At 41.4% G+C, this 20357-nt stretch overlaps 1 protein-coding gene across 14 annotated transcripts in view; it reads left to right on the forward strand.

Annotated features, from left to right (window-relative positions):
• Nucleotides 1-20357, forward strand: part of CDKAL1 (CDKAL1 threonylcarbamoyladenosine tRNA methylthiotransferase) — a 697948-nt gene that overhangs the window by 658255 nt on the left and 19336 nt on the right. For 8 of the 14 annotated variants that reach the window (XM_047418947.1, XM_047418948.1, XM_024446481.2 and 5 more), the window contains 2 exons: nt 5310-5393; nt 6380-7878. In XM_047418947.1, coding sequence (XP_047274903.1) covers nt 5310-5393; nt 6380-6778 — 483 coding nt within the window. In that variant the 3' untranslated portion in view covers nt 6779-7878. Of the gene's footprint in view, nt 1-5309; nt 5394-6379; nt 7879-8398; nt 8564-20357 lie in introns of those variants that run through there. The other 6 variants (XM_047418949.1, XM_047418952.1, NM_017774.3 and 3 more) reach the window with 1 other exon arrangement.

The raw sequence follows: 20357 nt of genomic DNA on the forward strand, positions 1-20357 counted from the left end.
ATTTTATTTAACCAGCCATAAACTATATGCCTATAAACAAATCAGAAGGAAAAGGACATCTTTCTTAGGATTACAAGAAAATACTTTGTTGAGAGTTCCTTTTTTTTTTTTTTTTTTTTTAGAGATAGGATCTTTCTCTGTCTCCCAGGCTAGAATGCAGCTGTGCAATCATAGCTCACTGCAACCTTGAACTCTTGGACTCTCAAGCAATCCTCCTGCCTTAGTGTTCCAAGTAGCTGGGACTACAGGTGTGCGCCACCACACCCTGCTAATTTTTTTTATTTTTTTGTAGAAACGAGGTCTTGCTATGTGGCCCAGGCTAGTCTCTAACTCCTGTCCTCACATGATTCTCCCACCTTGGCCTCCCCGAATGCTGGGATTACAGGTGTGAACCACCACCACACCCAGCCAAGCTTTGTTGAGATTTTGGCAGGCTTCTTTAAGGAAACTTCAAGACACTCAATAGCCTCTTGAGACACCTTGTAATTGTTTCCTGGCAGGTACTGTATTGAAAATCAAGTTGTTGGTTTAAGTACACCAAGAAGGTAGCTGTAATTTGCAGAGGGCTGTAAGCATACATTTACTGTTTAAAAAGAGAGAGAGAGAGAGAGAACAAGAGAGAGACAGGCTTGATTAGAGTACATAATTTCCTTCAGCTAATTCCTATGAAACCTTTGGATGTGCTGATCCGCAGCCTACAGATCTACCTTCAACAATGACTTAAACTTCACAATTGAAAGATCTTTAAATATTGTAATCCACCTCCCCTTCAACAGCCCTACTCTCTTCTCCCTACTTCCGTCCCACTTCTACCAACCTCTCATTTTTAGATGAGGAAAGTGAAGGCCCAAAACATAGTCAGGTCTCTTTCATCTCAAAAATAATCTCACTCAGACCCTGTGTCTTTGTCCCCTACTGACCAATCCATATATGTGGCATCTGTTGATTTCAAAGAACCCTCTTCAGACTTTTTTCCCTTGGGTTCTGCTAGAACTGTGTGCTTCTGCTTCTGACCTTTCATTGTCCATCCATCACTTTCCCCTTTCTTCCTATCCTTGAATGTTACAATTCTCTTGACGCCACCCACCAGACCATTCTTTGGACTTAGAATTTCAGTTGTATCTTAAACATTTCTGCTGAACAATTACATTGTGCTCTGTCTTAGTTCATTTTCTGTTGCTATAACAAAATACCCAAGACTGGATAATTTATAAGGAAAAGAAGTTTATTTGGCTCATGATTCTGGAGGCTGAGAAGTCCAAGATCAGGCAACCCATTTAGTGAGGGCTTCAACTCAGCAGAAAGCAGAAGGGCTTTCAAAGAGACCACACACGAAAGGCAGCCTCACATTATAACACCAGGCTCTCATGTGAACTTACCCATTCCCTCAAGAACTAACTCAGTCCCTGGAGAAAGACATTAACTGATCCTAATGACCTAATCACATCTTAAGGACACTGCCTCCCAACACTGTTACATTGTCAATTAAATTTCAACATGAGTTTTGTCAGGGACAAACCATAGCAGGCTGCCAGTCACACATTTTATGAGAACCATGGTTTTCAACCTCTTCCTTACTTGCAGGATTTTGTCCATTTTTCACAGTGATGTAACCTTTTCCTGTTGGTAGTTTCAGCTGTTAGGCAAGGATCTGTCAGTGACGGTGAGGCAGCCATAGAAGTTTGCTTCTCAGATGAGTGTAGAGTCTCTTTAAGACAAATTCTGATCCCTTCTAGTGGACTACCTCTGCCATTAGCATAATAGATAACTGAGTGGTGTGGTCTTAGAGTCCTGAAGATATCTGTAGCCTTGCCACTTTTCTGCAGATGCCCTGCCTTAGTTCTATGACTAGAACTTCCTTACTCAGATAGCAGAGGCACTGTTTGGATATGGCAAGCCAGGATGATTACTCTCAATTTTGTTATGTGAGGGTCTTTAACCACACACGGCTACCATATGGGGTGGGAGAGACAGCATCTAGAAAGTGTAGGGGAAGTGGCTCATTTTAAAAAGAAATTTGAGGCTTGTATATGTTTCCTTAGCCCACAAGTTCCTTTGCAACCAAGGTGAAGTTGCATCTTCCAGAATGTCATCTGAACTCATTCTTCCATAACTTCAGTGTTGACTTTAATATTATTTGGAATAGTTGTTTCTCTTAAAGGTTGTATTTGATTTTCACTTCAGTGTGACTTCATTCATTAAAAAATATTGAGGGAAGCATTTATTATTTTTTGTTTGTTCATTTGTTGAGATAGGTTCTCACTCTGTTGCCCAGACTGGAGTGCAGTGGCATGATCAAAGCTTACTGCAGCCTCCAACTCCCGGGCTCAAGCAAGTTTTATATATTTATAATATATATGTATGCATATATTTATTTTAAGCAGTGGGGACGGATTGCAGCAGCTTTTGATCAAAGCCCTAGCCTTCCTAGGCTCAGTTTTTTTCCGTATGCTCTGGAGATTTTGTTTAGAGACAGAGTCTCACTCTGTCACCCAGGCTGGAGTGCAGGGGTGCAATCTCATCTCACTGCAACATCTGCCTCCCAGGTTCAAGCAATCCTCCCACCTCAGTCTCCCAAGTAGCTGGGACTACAGGCACATGTCACCATGCCTGGCTAACTTTTGTATTTTTAGTAGAAACAGGGTTTCACCACGTTGGCCAGGCTGGTCTCGAACTCCTGGCCTCAAGTGATCCACCCGCCCTGGCCTCCCAAGGTGCTGGGATTACAGGCATGAGCCATCGTGCCTGGCCTCTGGAGATGTTTTTTTTATTTATTTATTTATTTATTTATTTATTTATTTATTTATTTATTTATTTGAGACAGGGTCTTATTCAGTCACCAATGCTGGAATGCAGTAGAATGATCACAACTCACTGCACCCTCAATCTGCCAGGCCCAAGCAATCCTTCCACTTCAGCCTCTCGTGTAGCTGGGACTATAGGCACACACCACCACACTCGGCTAATTTCTGTATTTTTTATAGAGACGGGGTTTTGCCATGTTACCCAGGCGGTCTCAAACTCCTGGACTCAAGTGATCTGCCCACCTCTGCCTCCCAAAGTGCTGGGATTACAGGCATGAGCCACCGGGCCCGGCCACTCTGGAGATTTTTAAGGGCCTTGCCAATGAGACTGGGGACACAAATAGGATGACTCCTCAGTTGAGGACACAAATAGGATGACTGAAAAGGTGTTTGCCACTATGAATTAGTGCACATTGCGGTTCTCCTGAGTCTCTTTGGCAAATAATAGTTAAATACTCACCTACAAATAGTTCTCTTATGGTTGATTAAAAGCCCAGCTTTCTACTATATAAACATAGCAAGTCTTTTTAACTCTGTATATATTACTGTCATTGTTATCATCTCCAGATGAAATAGAGCAGCCCAAACATGATGGGCCTTACTCTCCACGTTGATTCTAAGAAGAAGAAAGAAGCAGCATAGTTTTCAGTGGCTCTACAATTTCACATTGTTGTTAATTTCCTGAAAACTTGATGTTAAATGAAGTGTAATTGCAGATTTCCTTAAGAACCATTGACAGATACTTATCCTAAGTCATAAGCAACTCACACTGTGAAATGTGTGCAAACATTCTAAGTTTTCTTCTAGAAGAATATACTTCAGTGATACCCAATATTCACCAGCCCTTTTTGATAAACAGAGCCATTGAAGCTCAACATGGAAGTTGGGGGAAATTTCTTTTTTTACACTTGATTTTTTTAAGGGGATTAATGTTGCCAGAACTTCCATTGTTTTTCAGACAGTGAAAAGAGTCTTTAGTAAGTGTCATCTCAGAGACCTTACAACTTTTGGCTAAGAGGGCTATATTTTGAATGAGATAGTAAACTAGATAGTAAATTATGGTGTATTTAGGTACTGGCATTGTATGATAGAGAGGGGAGTTTGATTTGTTTTTTAATTGTTAGGTGGTCTATTTAGTGCAGCTGTGTTTATGTTTCCTTCATGGTAACCGCCTGAACATGGTGACAAGTCCCTACAAATGAGAATAGGAATTTTAAAAAATTATCTTGCCAGTGGGCTTTAATTTGGGGGGGTCATAATTATTAAGTAGCATTGGTAAAAATAATCCCCGGCACAGTCATTCAGTACAGTTGTTTTGCTGTATCAGACATTTTGACAACCTTGTAAAAAGAGTAACTGAGTCCAGGCATGGTGGCTCATGCCTGAAATCCCAGCACTTTGGGATGCCGAGGCAGGCGGATCACCTGAGGTCAGGAGTTCGAGACCAGCCTGGCCAACATGGCAAAACCCCGTCTCTACTAAAAATATAAAAATTAGCCGGGCATAGTGGCGCATGCCTGTAATCCCAGCTACTCGGGAGGCTGAGGCAGAAGAATCGTTTGAACCCGGGAGGCGGAATTTGCAGTGAGCCAAGATCATGCCACTGAACTCTAGCCTGGGTGACAGAGTGAGACTCTGTCTCAAAAAAAAAAAATAATAATAATAATAATACTTGATACCTTAAGTGCTGCATTTCACAGTAGAATAAACTTGGAAATTATAGAATTTCCTTAGAATAGTCACACTTCTTTACCCATTGTTTTGGCTGATTTACTTCTTTGCTATTAAAAATGGGTGCCTAGATCATAATGTACATCAATTCTGTGGAAAATTAGCAATTCCATGTTTTTGCTGTCTTTCTCTTTAAAAAATAATAAATGAACATGGGGTCATGACTGCAGCAAAGAGACAGTTGCCTGTGACAGAGAAAATGTATATAATAAGTAAATAGCTCTGTGAATTACTCAGTACTTTCAGAATTGTATGTAAGATATGAAATGTGGAGGTGCAAGGTCCTAATGACTAGTTTTCCGAGGCATTTTCTTTAGTGTTACATCCCTCATAACTCAAATGAATGTTTATTACTATTCTTTCATATTGCCAAAATATTTTCATGAATTTGGATTAGAAGCAGCTTGTTCTGGCTTGTTTTGCAACTTTGTTTCAGGAAACAAAGTGATATTTAGAAGATTTTTGTATGTCATAGAAGCTTTAATTATCTTACTTATGTTGAAGGAGATCAAATTCTGTTTCAGAGTTATGTAAGAAAATAAGAGTTTATACTATGCTAATTTTATGTTGCCAGATAATTAATGTCTTTCAAAAAATTTGAATCCGTGATTTGAACAGGGTTCGCTGTTAAATAACCAGCAATGTAGAGTCTACTTTAAATTCAAGAAGACGCTACTTGGTCCAGACCTACCTGGGCTAGCCTTTATTTTTATTTTTGGATTCACAGGTGTTTACCCTTATCTTTCCTTTCTTTCCCTCCCCTTCTCTCCACAGATTGGTGAAAGACAACAAGTGTTAGTAACAGAAGAATCTTTTGATTCCAAGTTTTATGTTGCACACAATCAATTCTATGAGCAGGTAAGAGGCACTTCAGTATTCTTGAGTTTTCTCCAAAGTGAGAAAGAGTTCTGAAAGTTTAAGCAAAGGGCATTTAAAGGGGAGAGTGTTGAATCTTGTCACAACAAGGCTGTTTTATCGCTTCAAGCCAGCCAGGCTAACATGGACTTTATCTTTGTGACTTACTCTACAATATGTTCTGTACAAAGGAATAGGTGTATTTAGTCTATTTTAGTTCACATTAATCTTTGACAGGACCAGCTTTAGGCTTTTGGGCGTTTGGAACCAGGCAATTAGCACTGCCAGAATTCCCACACCCTGGCAAAGCAGGGGGGAAAGTCCTGCTCAGACCACAGGAAGGATGTCTGCATGGGCGACAGCAGCATGAAAGGGCAGGGATTTCCTCTCGCTGGTACATCACCCGGACAGTTTTTTTAGTTGGTTGGTTGATTGGTTGGTTGGTTGGTTGGTTTTTTAGTTTTGTTTAGTTTTAGCATCTGTTTTTTTAACTTCTACCTTAATAAAAATGCTGGGAGCAGAGGAAAAGGAGTCTATTCCTTGGACTCAACTCTAATTGTATGAACAACTGTGCAGACCAGTGTGAGGATCAAACCAGCTTCACTGTGAGAGCTTTGAAGGCCATCCCTAGGGGCGCCCCCAATTACTAGCCCTCCTTCCCTGGCCATCTAAGTTGGCCTGCCTTTGCCCACCGAGGAGCCTGACTTCTGTTTCAGCATCAGGGTTTCTACTCCTCCAGGTGGGAGAGCAATTCAAAAGTGACTGAGGAAAAGAGAGTGCCTCTTTCAGGGTCATTGACCCTGGCAAGGGCCAAGGCCAGGGAAGAGATGGGATACGCCCTCCTCTCCCATCTTATGGTAGCCTGTGTCTCCCATCTCATGATAGCCTGTGTGGGAGACTGTCATGGGCGTACGGAGATTTTCACTGATCATTCTGGATTGTATTAAAATCAAATGGAGCTTCCTACTTTTTTGCTTCTTTCTTATCAGATAAGAGGTGAAAATGTTTGCTATGGATCATGGCTGGAATTAGAGCTTGAGAAGATGCTGAAGGCCAAGGTGGACAAGTCGGATGAGGGATGGGCAGAGGAAGCAGGCTGCCTGTGTCAGAAGGCAGGAAAGCAGGAGCTGAAGAGGCCCCCAGCATTGACATTCCCCAGGGAATCATCTCAGACTGGGCAGTGCGTCCCCAGGAAACAGGGGAGCTTTTCAAAGCCCAGACTAAACGTGCTCTGTTCAGTACCGGTGGAGACTGCAGTTGAGGAAGGGCTCCCAGCACTCCATGTCTGGCCTGCATCGCTTCCCCATTTCCCCATCTCATTAATATACCCCAGAGGGCCATTTTCCTATTCAGGCCAACCTTCTGCTCAGCCCTGGGGAGGAGCTTGATTGCATTTTGGTTGCCTCTTCTCTCTCCTTTCTCTTGCCATCTGGGTTTTGCCTCAGCAGGGAACTTTTTTCCCTTCATTTTAAAGGCAGTGGCATGCCTCGTTAGCTGCTTCCTCCAATTTAAAGCAGTCGGGCTTTTTCCAATTATTAAAACTGGAGGAGGGGAAAACACTGAGCCCTTCATTCAGATCAAGGCAGCAGATCAAGGAGGGTTATTTTTCCCCAGAATAGTACCAAATCTCCCAGGGTTAGTTTGGTCTAGAGATTTTCTTATTTTATAAAAACTGATTTAAATGGGCTTTTTATATCCTAACACTAAAGCTCTTTTAGTTCTTTTTGCCTGCCCTAAGTAATTCACCACCCAGGTGACCTTTTTCTTCTACTTTGATGAAGCAGTGTACTCAGTGGTCATAAAAATCAAACTCAGACCAAGATTCAATTTTGCCTTTCAGAGAGATTGGCTGTGGAACTCCTGGCTCTCATCTGACTTTTCTGTCTCTATAACTAAGCATATCAAAGATTTTCTAGGAATTATTTTTCTAAATAAGATGAGTTCCAGAGATGAAGATTGTATCTAGATATCCAAGTATTACTGGATTAGAACTGGTCTATTTATTTTGGATTCTAACTTGAAAAGACTGGCAAGTCGCTGCAGTGCTAAAATAGAAGTGTAAGGGAGACATCACACACACAAGCTACCTGTGGGTCCCAAAGGAAGGGAAACGTTTGCTTGAAGTAAACAAGTACTTTTATCAGGAATCTCTAGTGGAAAGAGACCACCTGACAGTTTCCTGTGAACAAGCCAAAGTACCCTTCAGAGGACTGGTTCTAGATGGAGGTAGATTCCCAGGACTGACAAACACATGCCTTTTCTAACAGAGCAAGGGAAATGAACGGCAGCTGTTAGTTTCAGGAGTCATTTAGCTCCAAACAGCAGTGTACAGTGTTATTGGAAGGTTCTTTTAAATGTACCTCCTTCTCCCTCAAAACACAGCACACACATGCACGGACACAAACACGCAGGCCTGTTTGAAGTGTCTTTTCAAACCATTACTCTGACAGCTCACTTGGAAAGTATTAAAAGTATAAGGCTTTCATCAGTATTGTCTCGGTTTTCCTCATTGCATGGAATAGCCAAAAGCAAGATATCAAAGGCCTGTCCAGAAGTGGCTGGCTGATTGCTGGGGGATTTCCCAGGTCTGCCTTCCACGTGCCTCAGGACATCAGGCACATCCTGCACTGGAAAAGCACTGCCCAGGGGCCCAGGAGCCCCTCCCAGGAGTGCCTTTCCTTCCTGCAGGCTCTGCAGACCCTTGAGCAGCTAGAAGATAGAGTCCACTTTGTAGGGGATCCCAGAACAGAAAAATGACATTGAGGGACAATGAGGAAACCTGGATAATTAGGTATGCCTTCGGTTAATAATATTAATATATCAATTTGGGTTCATTAATTGTGGCAAAAGTGCTATACTAATGTAAGACGGTAAATAATAAGAAAACTGGGAGTTAGGTATACAGGAGCTCTCCATACTATCTTTGCAATAATTCTATAAATCTGAAACTGTTCTAAAGTAAAATGTTTATTTTTAAAAATTAAGCCTCTGAAACAAATGTGTTTAAGGTTTTAGTGCCAAAGAACCCTGCGTTCATGGGGAAGATGGTTGAAGTGGACATCTATGAATCAGGCAAACATTTTATGAAAGGGCAGCCAGTATCTGATGCCAAAGTGTACACGCCCTCCATCAGCAAACCGCTAGCAAAGGGAGAAGTCTCGGGTTTGACAAAGGTAAGTAAAAGATGCTCTCCTCTCTACCCTGCTAGTAAAACAGCAGCTGTGGAAGCACAGTGATTCCAGGCCATGTTTCTGTTATCATTTATAGTTCCCTTTTTATGTATGCATGAGGCTTTAATCCTTTCTGACAGATTGAAATCTGAATTAGAAAGATGTGTTTTTGCTGATGCCGATAGCTTTGCTTCTCTGGCTGTAAAGAGAATAAGCTCTTTCTGCTTCCAGTTTAGAAGCAGGGGGTAAAAGCCATTATTTGCAGGTGAAAATGTTGACACCAAAAGATGATCTGATCCAGTATGTTTCTATGTCAGTAGATCCTGAGTGGAAGGGGATGAAGAAAGGGGTGTTTTCTTGCTTTACAAAGCTGTTTATACTGTAGTAAAAACCTACAGCTGAACAGGCACTAAACCATATCATATATGCAGTTATGGTGCCTTTCAGAAGGGTGTTAGCTGGATATCTACTTTAGTCATGTGGAGTGAAAATTAAACATTTTTTTCTTTCTATAAAAAAGTAACCTGACCCCTATTTTATACCTTGGTAAATATGGCCGTTTGCCAAGCTCTCTCACATTTCATTGAGCTACAGTTGTAAAAGCTGATGGAGTGTGAAATGAAAATGTGTATCACATTTCTAAGCATCATTTGATGTCCTTTCTCCAACACAATTGTTAAGCGCTTAAAAAAAAAAAGCATATAACAGTGATTTAACATATGGAAAAAAATAACTGATATTTATCTGGCCATGTAATTCCGAAATTGTTTTAATCTGTGCATAATCTTGTTCCTCAAAATAAATTGCAAGGACATGTTCGTTAAAATAAAGGGAATACCGCTTCACTCTGGCAATAGTACCGCTTCACTCTGGCAATAGCAACAAAGACAATACTATTGTCTGTGTTCTCACTGACTGTGGCACTGGATTCTTGTGTCCGACAGCAGTGATAATTCACATGTGCTTCACAAGTGCCCATGAAGGATCTGCGTGCATGGCCGTCTAACCCGTACTGGAATGGTATAGACCAGCTTTTGTTAAAATCCTACCAAATGCATCAGCCTGCATGATCAGGAGATAACTCTAAAACTTGATAAACATAACCATTCATTTTTGCTGTTTATTAAAAAAAAAAAAATTGTACTTGGGGGATAGTATGGGTGGCCAGGAAGGAGCAGTGTAACCTGGCATTTAAATTATATTGCTAGAGATTTGGCTTTTGATATGTTAGCCAATACTTTGAAAAATTTTTTAAGAAGTCAGCTTATTTTTTGTTTTGTTTTGTTTTTCCACATAGTGTGTTTTACAAGGTTAATTTTAGATTGCCACAGTGAAAAGGGTTTCTCAGCAAGTAGCAGTAGTGGGGAAATTATTATTTCAAAGACTCTGCCTGGTTTAATTCCTTCATGTTTGCCTCTTGGAAAGGGAGTATTGTAAACATCACCATTGATAATACATAAACAAGGAAATGTAGTGTCCCTCTATTCGTTCCTTAACTATAGTGTTACTGTCTAAAAGGGCAGTTCCGTTTAAATTCTCTGGGGCACCCTTTCTACTCTCCCATCCTTTCCTCTAGCCTAGAAAATGGTGTTATCAGTTCTACCACCAGCCCAGCTCTGAACCAGAATGGCCCAAAAGTCCCGGATAAGATGAGGAAGCCAGTTGGTTGCTGGTCTGTTAGAGCCTCTAGAAATAGTGTTGTAGCATGAGGCCAGTGGGGTAGGAATATTGATTTGGGTATTTACATTAAGAGAAACAGTAAGGCTTTTGTTGGTTCTTGTTTGTTTGTTTGTTTTGAGAGAGGGTCTCCCTCTGTCACCCAGGCTGGAGTGCAATGGTGTGATCACAGCTCATTGCAAACTCTGCCTCCTGGGCGCAAGCAATCGTCCCACATCAGCTTCCTGAGTAGCTGGGACTATAGGCATGCACCACCATCCTGGCTAATTTTTTTTTTTTTTTTTTTTTTTTTTTTTTTTTTTTTGAGTCAGAGTCTCACTCTGTTGCCCAGCCTGGAGTGCAGTGGCATGCAGTGTCAGCTCACTGCAGCCTCCACCCCCCAAGTTCAAGCAATTCTCATGCCTCAGCCTCCTGAGTAGCTGGAATTACAGGCATGTGCCACTACGCCCGGCTAATTTTTTATTTTTAGTAGAGACAGGGTTTCACCATGTCGGCCAGGCTGGTCTCGAACCCCTGACCTCAGGTGATCCGCCCACTTCAGCTTCCCAAAGTGCTGGAATTACAGACATGAGCCACTGTGCTCGGCCCCAGCTGATACTGTTTATTTTTTCTAGAGACAGGATCTCGCTTTGTTGCCCAAGTTCGTCTTGAACTCCAGGCCTCAAACGGTCCTCCCACCTTGGTCTCCCTGGCATCTAAAGCAAAATACTGTGCTTTGGACTTATTTTGTCTCACTTGACCTCTTTTTTTTTTTTTTTTTTTTTTTTTTCCTGAAATGAAGTTTTGCTTGTCGCCCAGGCTGGAGTGCAATAGCATGATCTCACTGCAACCTCCACCTTCCAGGTTCAAGCGATTCTCCTGCCTCAGCCTCCCGAGTAGCTGGGATTACAGGCGTGCGCCACCACACCCGGCTAATCACTTGACCTCTTTTGATGAAATTGATGAGAGGTACAACAGATTAGAAGGGTGTTATCAAAATGATGGTGGGAATGGGTGAAGGTTATATGCACATTTTTAGTGAAAGGGGCAGAAGAATAGGAAACTTGAGAAAAACACAGTTTTAAGATGCTAAGAACATCAATATTTTTATCTTGTGCTCACATGCAGCCTAATTTTTCCTGAAGAAAAACTGTAGATAGACAGGACGTGGGGTCAGCAATACCAAATCCATGACCATGTAATAGTTTGAAAAATTATCTGAAAGCCATCATCAAAGATTGGGATCAAGGATTTTTTTGTTTAATTCCATTATGGAAATCTATTTATGGAAATTTTATGAACATTTTCAAGCATACACGAAAGTAGAGAGAATAGTATAATAATCCCACATACCTATTACCCACCCTTAGCAGTCATCAGATGACAGCCAATCTTATGCCATCTGTGTTCTTATCTACCCCTATTCCCCCAACCCTGATTATTTTGAAGAAAATCCCATTTACATTTTATTTCATCTAGAAATATACTAGTAAATACCTCTAAAAGATAAAGATTCCTTTTACAAACATAATCCCAATATATTGTCAAATTTTAAAATCATTACCCATAATTGTTATTGGCTAAATACTCCATACCTACTGCTAGGACCCTAAGTCAACATTTATGGCGTGCTTATCGTAGCCAAATACCATGCTAAATATGCTACATGTGTTCACTCATATCGCCCTCATAACCCTGAGAGGAAGGCACTATTATTATCCCCATTTCACAAATAAGGAATCTGAGCATCCATAATTCAATAAATAGCTTATCTGGAGTCACAAAATTTGAAGGTAGAAGAGGGAAGCCAGGATTTATATCCCCACTTTCAAGCCTTTGTTTTCGTTTTTGTGTGTTTTAATTGTGGTAAAATATACGTAACATAAAATTTCCTGTCTTACTCATTTGTAAGTGTATAGTTAGTGGTGTTAAGTACATTCTCATTGTTGTACAACCCATCTCCAGAACTTTCCATCTTGCAAAACTGAAACCCTGTACTCATTAAACAATAACTCCTCATTTCCCCCTTCCCTCAGCCCCTGGTAACTTCTAATCTACTTTCCGCCTCTATGAATTTGATTACTTTTGGTACCTCATATCAGTGGAATCATATGCTCACCAGTGTTTGTCTTTTTGTGACTTGCTTATTTCACTTAGCATAATGTCCTCAGGGTTCATCCATGTTGTAGCACGTGTCAGAATTTTCCTCCTTTTCAAGGCTAAATACTATTCCATTGGATGTGGATGCCACATTTCATTAATTCATTCATCCATTGGTGGACATTTAGGTTGCTTCTACCATTTGGCTGTTATGAATAATATTTGCTATGAACATGGGTGCACAGATATCTCTTCGAGTCCCTGCTCTCAATTCTTTTGGATATTTGTGCAGAAATAAGATTGCTGGATTGTATGGTCCTCTATTTTTAATCTTTTGAGGAGCTGCCATACTGTTTTCCATGGCAGCGGTACCATTTTACATTTCCACCAATAGTGCACAAGGGTTCCAGTCTCTCCACATTCACACCAACACTTATTTTCTCTTTTGTTTTGTTTTGTTTTGTTTTGATAGTAGCCATCCTAATCCGCATGGGTCAAGCCTGTTTTGTTTTGTTTTTTTTGAGACAGAGTCTCGCCCTGTCGCCCAGGCTGGAGTGCAGTGGCCTGATCTCGGCTCACTGTAAGCTCCGCCTCCTGGGTTCACGCCATTCTCCTGCCGCAGCCTCCCGAGTAGCTGGGACCACAGGAACCCGCCACCACGCCCAGCTAATTGTTTTGTATTTTTAGTAGAGACGGGGTTTCACTGTGTTAGCCAGGATGGTCTCGATCTCCTGACCTCGTGATCTGCCCGCCTTGGCCTCCCAAAGTGCTGGGATTACATGCGTGAGCCCCCGCGCCCAGCCTTTTTTTTTTTTTTTTTTTTTTGAGACAGAGTCTTGCTCTGTCGCCCAGGCTGGAGTGCAGTGGCGCGATCTTGGCTCACCACAAGCTCCGCCTCCCGGGTTCACGCCATTCTCCTGCCTCAACCTCCCGAATAGCTGGGACTACAGGCACCCGCCACCGCGCCCGGCTAATTTTTTTTTTTTCTTTGTATTTTAGTAGAGACGGGGTTTCACCATGGTCTCTATCTCCTGACCTTGTGATCCGCCCGCCTTAGCCTCCCAAAGTGCTGGGATTACAGGCGTGAGCCACCACACCGGACCAGTCAAGCCTGTATTTTTAAGCCCAGGTCCATACTGCCTTGCCCATTTTAATTGCAGGAGTCTTATTCGATAACTTCTGGACACCAGTTTCTTTTTGTATACCAGAGTAAACTTACACTGGATACAAAAAAATAATAAGTAAGAGAGAGAGGGAAAAAAATGAGAAAATGGGCAGTTTTAATTATCTTCTCTGTGGGTTCAGTTAAAAATGGCATTAGAGATCTGTCTCTCTTAGGAATATGCGACAATGTGAACATTACTGCTGTCTGTTTTAATAAAGGCTAACTAGTTTTACTACTAATGTTCTTTCTTCTTGTCTGGCCTATGTTATAACACATCGCTTGAATCTTACCATTTCTAAGATTGATTCTTAAGAAGTCAGAACTATTCTTTGCCTGGTACGAGATAGAAAAGAACATTTTCTCTTCTAATTTTAAACTTATGAATAGTTTGATTGCAAAGTTTTTTTTCATTGAATTCATTCTTAGTAGTAAAAATTGCTTTAAAGAAAGAAGTAGAGTAGCATCGTGGAAGATTGAAAGGATCTGGAGTCTGTCAGGTTTGGGTTCTAATTACAGTGACAGTTGCTATGATCAAGTACAACTTTCTTGACTCACAGTGTCTTCATTTGTATAATGGAGCTAACAACTGATTTGCAGAGGATTAAGTTAAATCATGTAGACAAAGTGCACCATGCATAGTAGGTATATTAAATATTTTAAAGAAAGAATTCAGTAAGTATCACTTTAAAAAGCAGTGGTTTCCTGGCTTTTATTTTGATTTCTTTTACTTTAATTTCTTTTTTTTTTCTTTTTAGACAGAGTCTCACTGTGTCACCCAGGCGCGATCTCGGCTCACTGCCACCTTCGCCTCCTGGGTTCAAGTGATTCTCGTACCTCAGCCTCTGGAATAGCTGGAACTACATGCATGCACCACCACACCCAGCTAATTTTTGTATTTTTAGTAGAAACAGGGTTTCACCATGTTGGCCAGGCTGCTCTCAAACTCCTGGCCTCAAGTGATCCACCTGCCTCAGCCTTCCAAAGTGCAGGGATTAGAGGCGTGAGGCACCACACCCGGCCTACTTTAAATTTTTTTTTTTTTAAGTACTTTGCAGCCTGATGCAGTGGTTCACGCCTGTAATCCCAGCACTTCAGGAGGCCAAGGCAGGAGGAGTGCTTGACCCCAAGGTTTAAGAACAGCCTAGCACCATTGGGAGACTTCATCTCTATAACAATTTTAAAAATTAGCCGAGTGTGATGGTGTATACCTGTAGTCTCAGCTACTTGGGAGGCCGAGGTGGGAGGATCACTTGGCCCCAGAGGGTCGAGGCTGCAGGGAGCCACTGCAGCCCAGCCTGGGTGAAAGAATGAAACCTTATCTCAAGCAAAAAAAAAGTACTTTGCGTTCATGGATTTCACTGTACATTATAGTATAGCAATTAAGAACATGAATTCTGGATTCCGATTACCCAGGTTTGAATCTTGATTCTACTATTACAAAAAATATGATCTTGGGCAAGTTACTCAATGTCCCTCCACCTCAGTTCTCCCTATGTAAATGAGTGATAGTACTACCTGCTTCATAGGATATACATGGAAATGGCTTAGCAGTCAATAAATATTGACTACTATTTTCATTATTAATTTGTGGTGCATGCCAAGGCATTATTTTACTTTAACTTGTGAAGTAAAAGTTGCCCAATATCTTATCATTTCAAATGTTGTATTCATCAGCCATAGATTTCTGACAATGGCAGATGAAACCAGACCAACTGCTGAGATTCCTCCATGAGAATGACAAATTAACAGAAGGAGATTCCAATAATACTACTACAGCGTTGGCCATTCTTACGGACAGACATTTCTTCCTCTTACTCTTTATGTCTTTTTTTTTTTTTAAAGAGAATATTCTAGAATGGAGGCCTGGACTTACCATTCTCTTTCTTACAAGTTAAGAGAAGGCTGCCCCAGGGTGCCTCAGTGCCACCTGTTTCTCATCTATTGAGACTTTGATCCTGAGAATGGATTCACTTGAGCAGTTAGATAGCTCAGCCCTGACACAGCCGACCGCGCTTGGAAAGGAAGCAGAAGTTTTAAAGGGTGGCATGGTTTGCTTCATTACCAGACAAAGGCCAGCAGGATATTCAGGTGTACTGAGTTTTATGTACAAACTATACTATATTCTCAGAGCTTTGACCCTTGGAAAAACACAGTTAAAATGTTTTCCTCTCCATCTGACATTCATTTCCAGAACCAGTGAAGTGAAAGGGTCTATTAGTTCAAGGCCAGATTTGAAAGCACATGAAAACTACATTCATGAGGTTAAGAAATGGCTTAATAATTAAGTTAAAACACTTGAAAGTGGGTCTAATTTCAGACAGGTCAGCTAACCGTGCTAGAAGCAAATGAGGGCGTGTTTCTTCCTATTTTTCCTTCCACCCCCAAGATAACTGGCTCCCAAGCAGTTTTTTCTGTTCCTTTTTTTTCTTACTAAACTTTATGTGAGACTAAATTCTTCATCGCTGCTAAGTTCACGTCACAAACAATTAAAACCATAGTACGTTTAATATTTTATGCATTTTTCTTTCATTTTGTATCTTGTTAGTTTCTTTTACAGACTGGTTAGGACGTATTTGAGTTTCACAGTCTAGATACATAGCTTTTATTCTATGCTGCTGAGCTATATTTTATTGACCGTTGCAGCTGAATTAGTATGACTGTCACTTCACACTGTGTTTAGTGTGTTTACAATACCTTCCGTGTACCAATTTGAGTACCATCCAAAGTATCATCAGAGCAAGCTGATGCTAAACAATTAGCTTTCATTTCACTTGCATCACTAATTGTGCAATCACTGATGATAATTCTCTTCCTCCTGAGGGTTGTAGCTGGAGCATCGTGAGGGAAATTGCATGCATCAGGGAACTAATTGTGCCTTGATAATAATAATAGCTACCATTTAGTGAACCACTACTATGTGCTTGGTATTGAGGCTCTTTACTCGTATTACTTCAGTTTATTATTCTAGCCTGGCCTAGGGCAGCTAGAACACGATGAAGTTCTTTATACAGCTGTACACACCCACATAGAGGCATCATAGGATGGGACTGAGCAGGCATTTTCCCCACCTCTCCATCCTTTGTCCACGTTCAAGATAGGAGGCAGAAGGAGCAGTGAGCCTGGGACAAAGACGTGGACCGACTTCCCTAGCTAAGCGCTAAGGAAAAGAACCAGGCCCCCGAGCCTGAATTACTTACATATGCAACATGCAGGTAGCACCTGGCCTCTTATAATATGTTTCAATGTTTATTATCCAGGAACGGAATGAAATCTTAGAGATGGAAATAATGAATATGGGCTTGGTCTTCGAGAAGTTTTTGGTCTTGGCTGTTCCTCTGGTAATACTGCTAATCAATTGTGACCCTGGTAGGGAGGGATTGGTGTGAGGGAAGTGGTCTTGTATAGGTATGCTAGCTCACCTGTGCGACATAATTACTCCTGTGGTTAAAGTTTTATGGATAATTTTCCCAAATCTAAAAGGGATCCCTTAAGAGCAAAAGGGATTCTTTATCATGAAAGCAGTGAATGGAAAAAAAGCCTCCTTAGGAGAACCAAAGATATATTTCAGCAGCAGCAGAACCTGAAAGGTCATCTAAGCCCAGCCACCTATCCCTGCAGGATGGGACTAGGGAGGTTCCAGAAGACCATGATTTCCTGTGATGATTTGAACCCAGGTGTTGGGAACCACTCTTCCACACTCACATTTTCACTGCACTATTTCCCCTTCACATGTCTTTACCTTTTCACTCAGTCAACAATTATCAATGACGAGTATGACACTGTATGCATCAAAGAACTAATTGTGCCTTGATAATATCTGTCTGTGTCAGGACTGTCTGCATCAGTCCTGGTTTATACGTGTTGTAATAGTATTAATAATATGCCCTTATTCCACTCCTCAAAGTATTCTAGTTTGGATGATAAATTATATGGTCATCCTATAAATTCCAAAAGTTGAGCCAGCGCTGTGTCAAGCACTGCTTGGGATACAGAAGTTGGAGATACCATCCTGCCCTCAAGGAGATAAAGTCTAGTTGGGAAGAGAAGATATGTGCTGCTGTGGTCTGAATGTTGGTGTCTTCCCAAAGTTCAGTGTTGAAACCTAATCACTCATGTGATGGTGTTAGGAGCTGGAGCCTTTGGGAGGTGGTTAGGTCATGAGGGCGGAGCCTTCATGATGAGGATTAGTACCTTTATACCATACTAATGAAGGCTCCAGAGAGCTGCCTTGACCCTTCCATTGTGTGAGGACACAGCAAGAAGACTCTGTCTATAAACTAGAAATCTGGCCCCCACCAGACACCAAATCTGCTGGCACCTTGATCTTAGATTTCCCAGCTTCTAAAACAGTGAGAAATAAATATCTGTTGTTTAAAAGCTACCCAGTTTATGGCATTTTGTTACAGTCACCGAAACGAACTAAGACAGTATGTACATATGAAACAAAATCTATAATATGTCAAATGTTAAATTGGTTGGCGTTAGATCATAAGAAGTTGGAAGATAGGAGATCTCTGATGACTTGAGGTATCAGGAAATGTATGGGTCAGGATTCTTTGCAGACAACAGAGAGCAGTTTAGTTAAACAGGAAGGAATGTATGAAAGGATGCTAGATGGCCCACAGAATTGTTAGAAGGGCCAGGGACCAGAATCTTTGCTGAGTTTTCCAGAAACAACACCCAGAACCACACAGGAGCTTCTGGTAAGAGGTGTCGCCTCTGCTCCACCTCCCCCAGCAAGGCAGAGGCCCCATGCCCCATCTGCTTCCTCATGAAGCTTCCCAGTCAATGTCTCACATATATCACATCTGACTGTGGAACCCAAGTCTCACATTTACACCCTGGGGACAAAGGAGGTTGGAAAATCATTTTTGGCATCTGTAGTCATGGGGAACTGTCAATGTGGAGAGGGTTTTCAGACAACTTCTACTACAGAGAGTTTCATGGATATGGACTTTGAAGGTGAGAAGAACTTAATCAGGCAAGTAAAGAAGGAAATTTTTCTCACTGTGAAAGGAACCAACGCAACGTGACAGAATGCACAGACTAAGAAGTTGTGGGCAGTTGGAAGGCACAGGGAAATCACCTTTAGTATAAAGACTGGGACCTCTGGGTTTTGAAGTCAAATAGGATTTATACCTAAGACATTAGACAAGCACATATATTCGTCCAAGACAGGTTAGGCTGCGCTTCGGTAACAAATTAACCCTGAAATCTCAGGGCTAACATAACAGAGGTTTATTTCCTGCTCACACTGAGCATCTAAGATGTACCATTTAGTTTGTAGTTTAGAGTCAGGTAGTTGTCTGCTCCACACAGTCACTCAGGGACCCAAGTTGACTGCATGTCTCCATGGTAAGGAAAGACGATTGCCGGTGAACCAGGCTTTTTACTGCCTCAGCACAGGAGTGGCACATGGTATTTGTATTCATATTCATTGGCCAGAACATCCACATGGCCCTGTCTAACTACAAGAGTCTAGAAAATACCTACTTTTGTTTTAATAAGAAGGAGAAGATATGGGTGAATACTAGAAGTTTCTATCATGCATGTGGGAATATTTTGTTTTGCTTTGTTTTTGAGACAGAGTCTCATTCTGTCACCCAGGCTCTGGAGTGCAGTGGTGCAATCTTGGCTGACTTGTAGTCTCTACTTCCCGGGCTCAAGTGATCCTCCCACCTCAGCCTCCCAAGTAGCTGGGACTTCAGACATGCGCCACTGTGCCTGGCTAATTTTTTTTTTATTTTTTGTAGAGATGAGGTCTCATTATGTTACCCAGGCTGGTCTCAAACACCTGGGCTCAAGCAATGCTCCAGCCTCAGCCTCTTAGAGTGCTGGGATTACAGGTGTGAGCCTCCGTGCCTGGCTACATGTGGGAAAGTTTTTGGGCATGAGCATAGTATAGTGAAAGTTTCTATATGAGGGAAAGCCCATGAAAGCAGGCCCCGCCTGACTGGTCTGCCCACGACTGGCTCCAGGCCCCAGTGCAGTGCCTGTTTCATGGTTATTGAATGAACTTGGCTCTCGGCGATATGCAGGGTGGAATGGATGGGTTCTCCACCAGAGGCAGGGAACCTACATGATAGGTTGAAATCCTCTGTTACTCCAGCTGATGAGGACATTAATATATTCTTCAATGGTTAAAAAAAAATCACAGTCAAGCCACTCAACCTACTCTTTGAAGTCATTTGACATCTTGATAAGCAGATTGCAAAAGCCCCTTTTTAAACTGATAGTAATCTTGCAAATGGAAATTCTTTTCATGGGAACTATGAGGATGAGTACTTTAGAGCGAGTTGCTTCTAACCATAAATTGTAGTTTCCTAGTTTCCCTTCTCACTTTCTAATGATGAAAGTGACAGCCTATCTCTCCTATGAGACTCAGAGTGTGGATGTTGCATTGTACCTAAAATAATAGAACATTATTTTTAAATAAATAAAATAGAATATGTTCAAAGAAATAGAGTGTGTTTGTTTTCTAACATAGTTTATAATGTTTAAAATTTTTTTCATTATTTTTAAATTTTTATGTATTTAGGGGGTACAAGCGCAGATTGCTTATATGCATGCAAGCAGTGTTTTAAATTTAAAGGGCTTTGGGGAAACAAATTTTCTCCTGTCCCTCTCTCTCCTGAATGCAATTCTATAAAATTATTGAGAAACAGAAATTTTCAATCCATATATCAAATCAGGTATCTAGGGCAGTTTTCTGATAGGAAGCCAACCTAAAAATTTAAGATGTAGCACCTTGCAAATTTGCCAACCCCTGAGAAGGAAATTCAAAAGGCAATAAAGGCAAAGAACCATCAGCCGACTTTATCAAGATCAGCATTTTCCCTTCCACAGGCCCCTGGCTCCCAGGGCTTCCTCCTTGAA

Source organism: Homo sapiens, chromosome 6 (assembly GCF_000001405.40).
Source record: "Homo sapiens chromosome 6, GRCh38.p14 Primary Assembly".
Classification (NCBI taxonomy): Eukaryota; Metazoa; Chordata; class Mammalia; order Primates; family Hominidae; genus Homo; species Homo sapiens.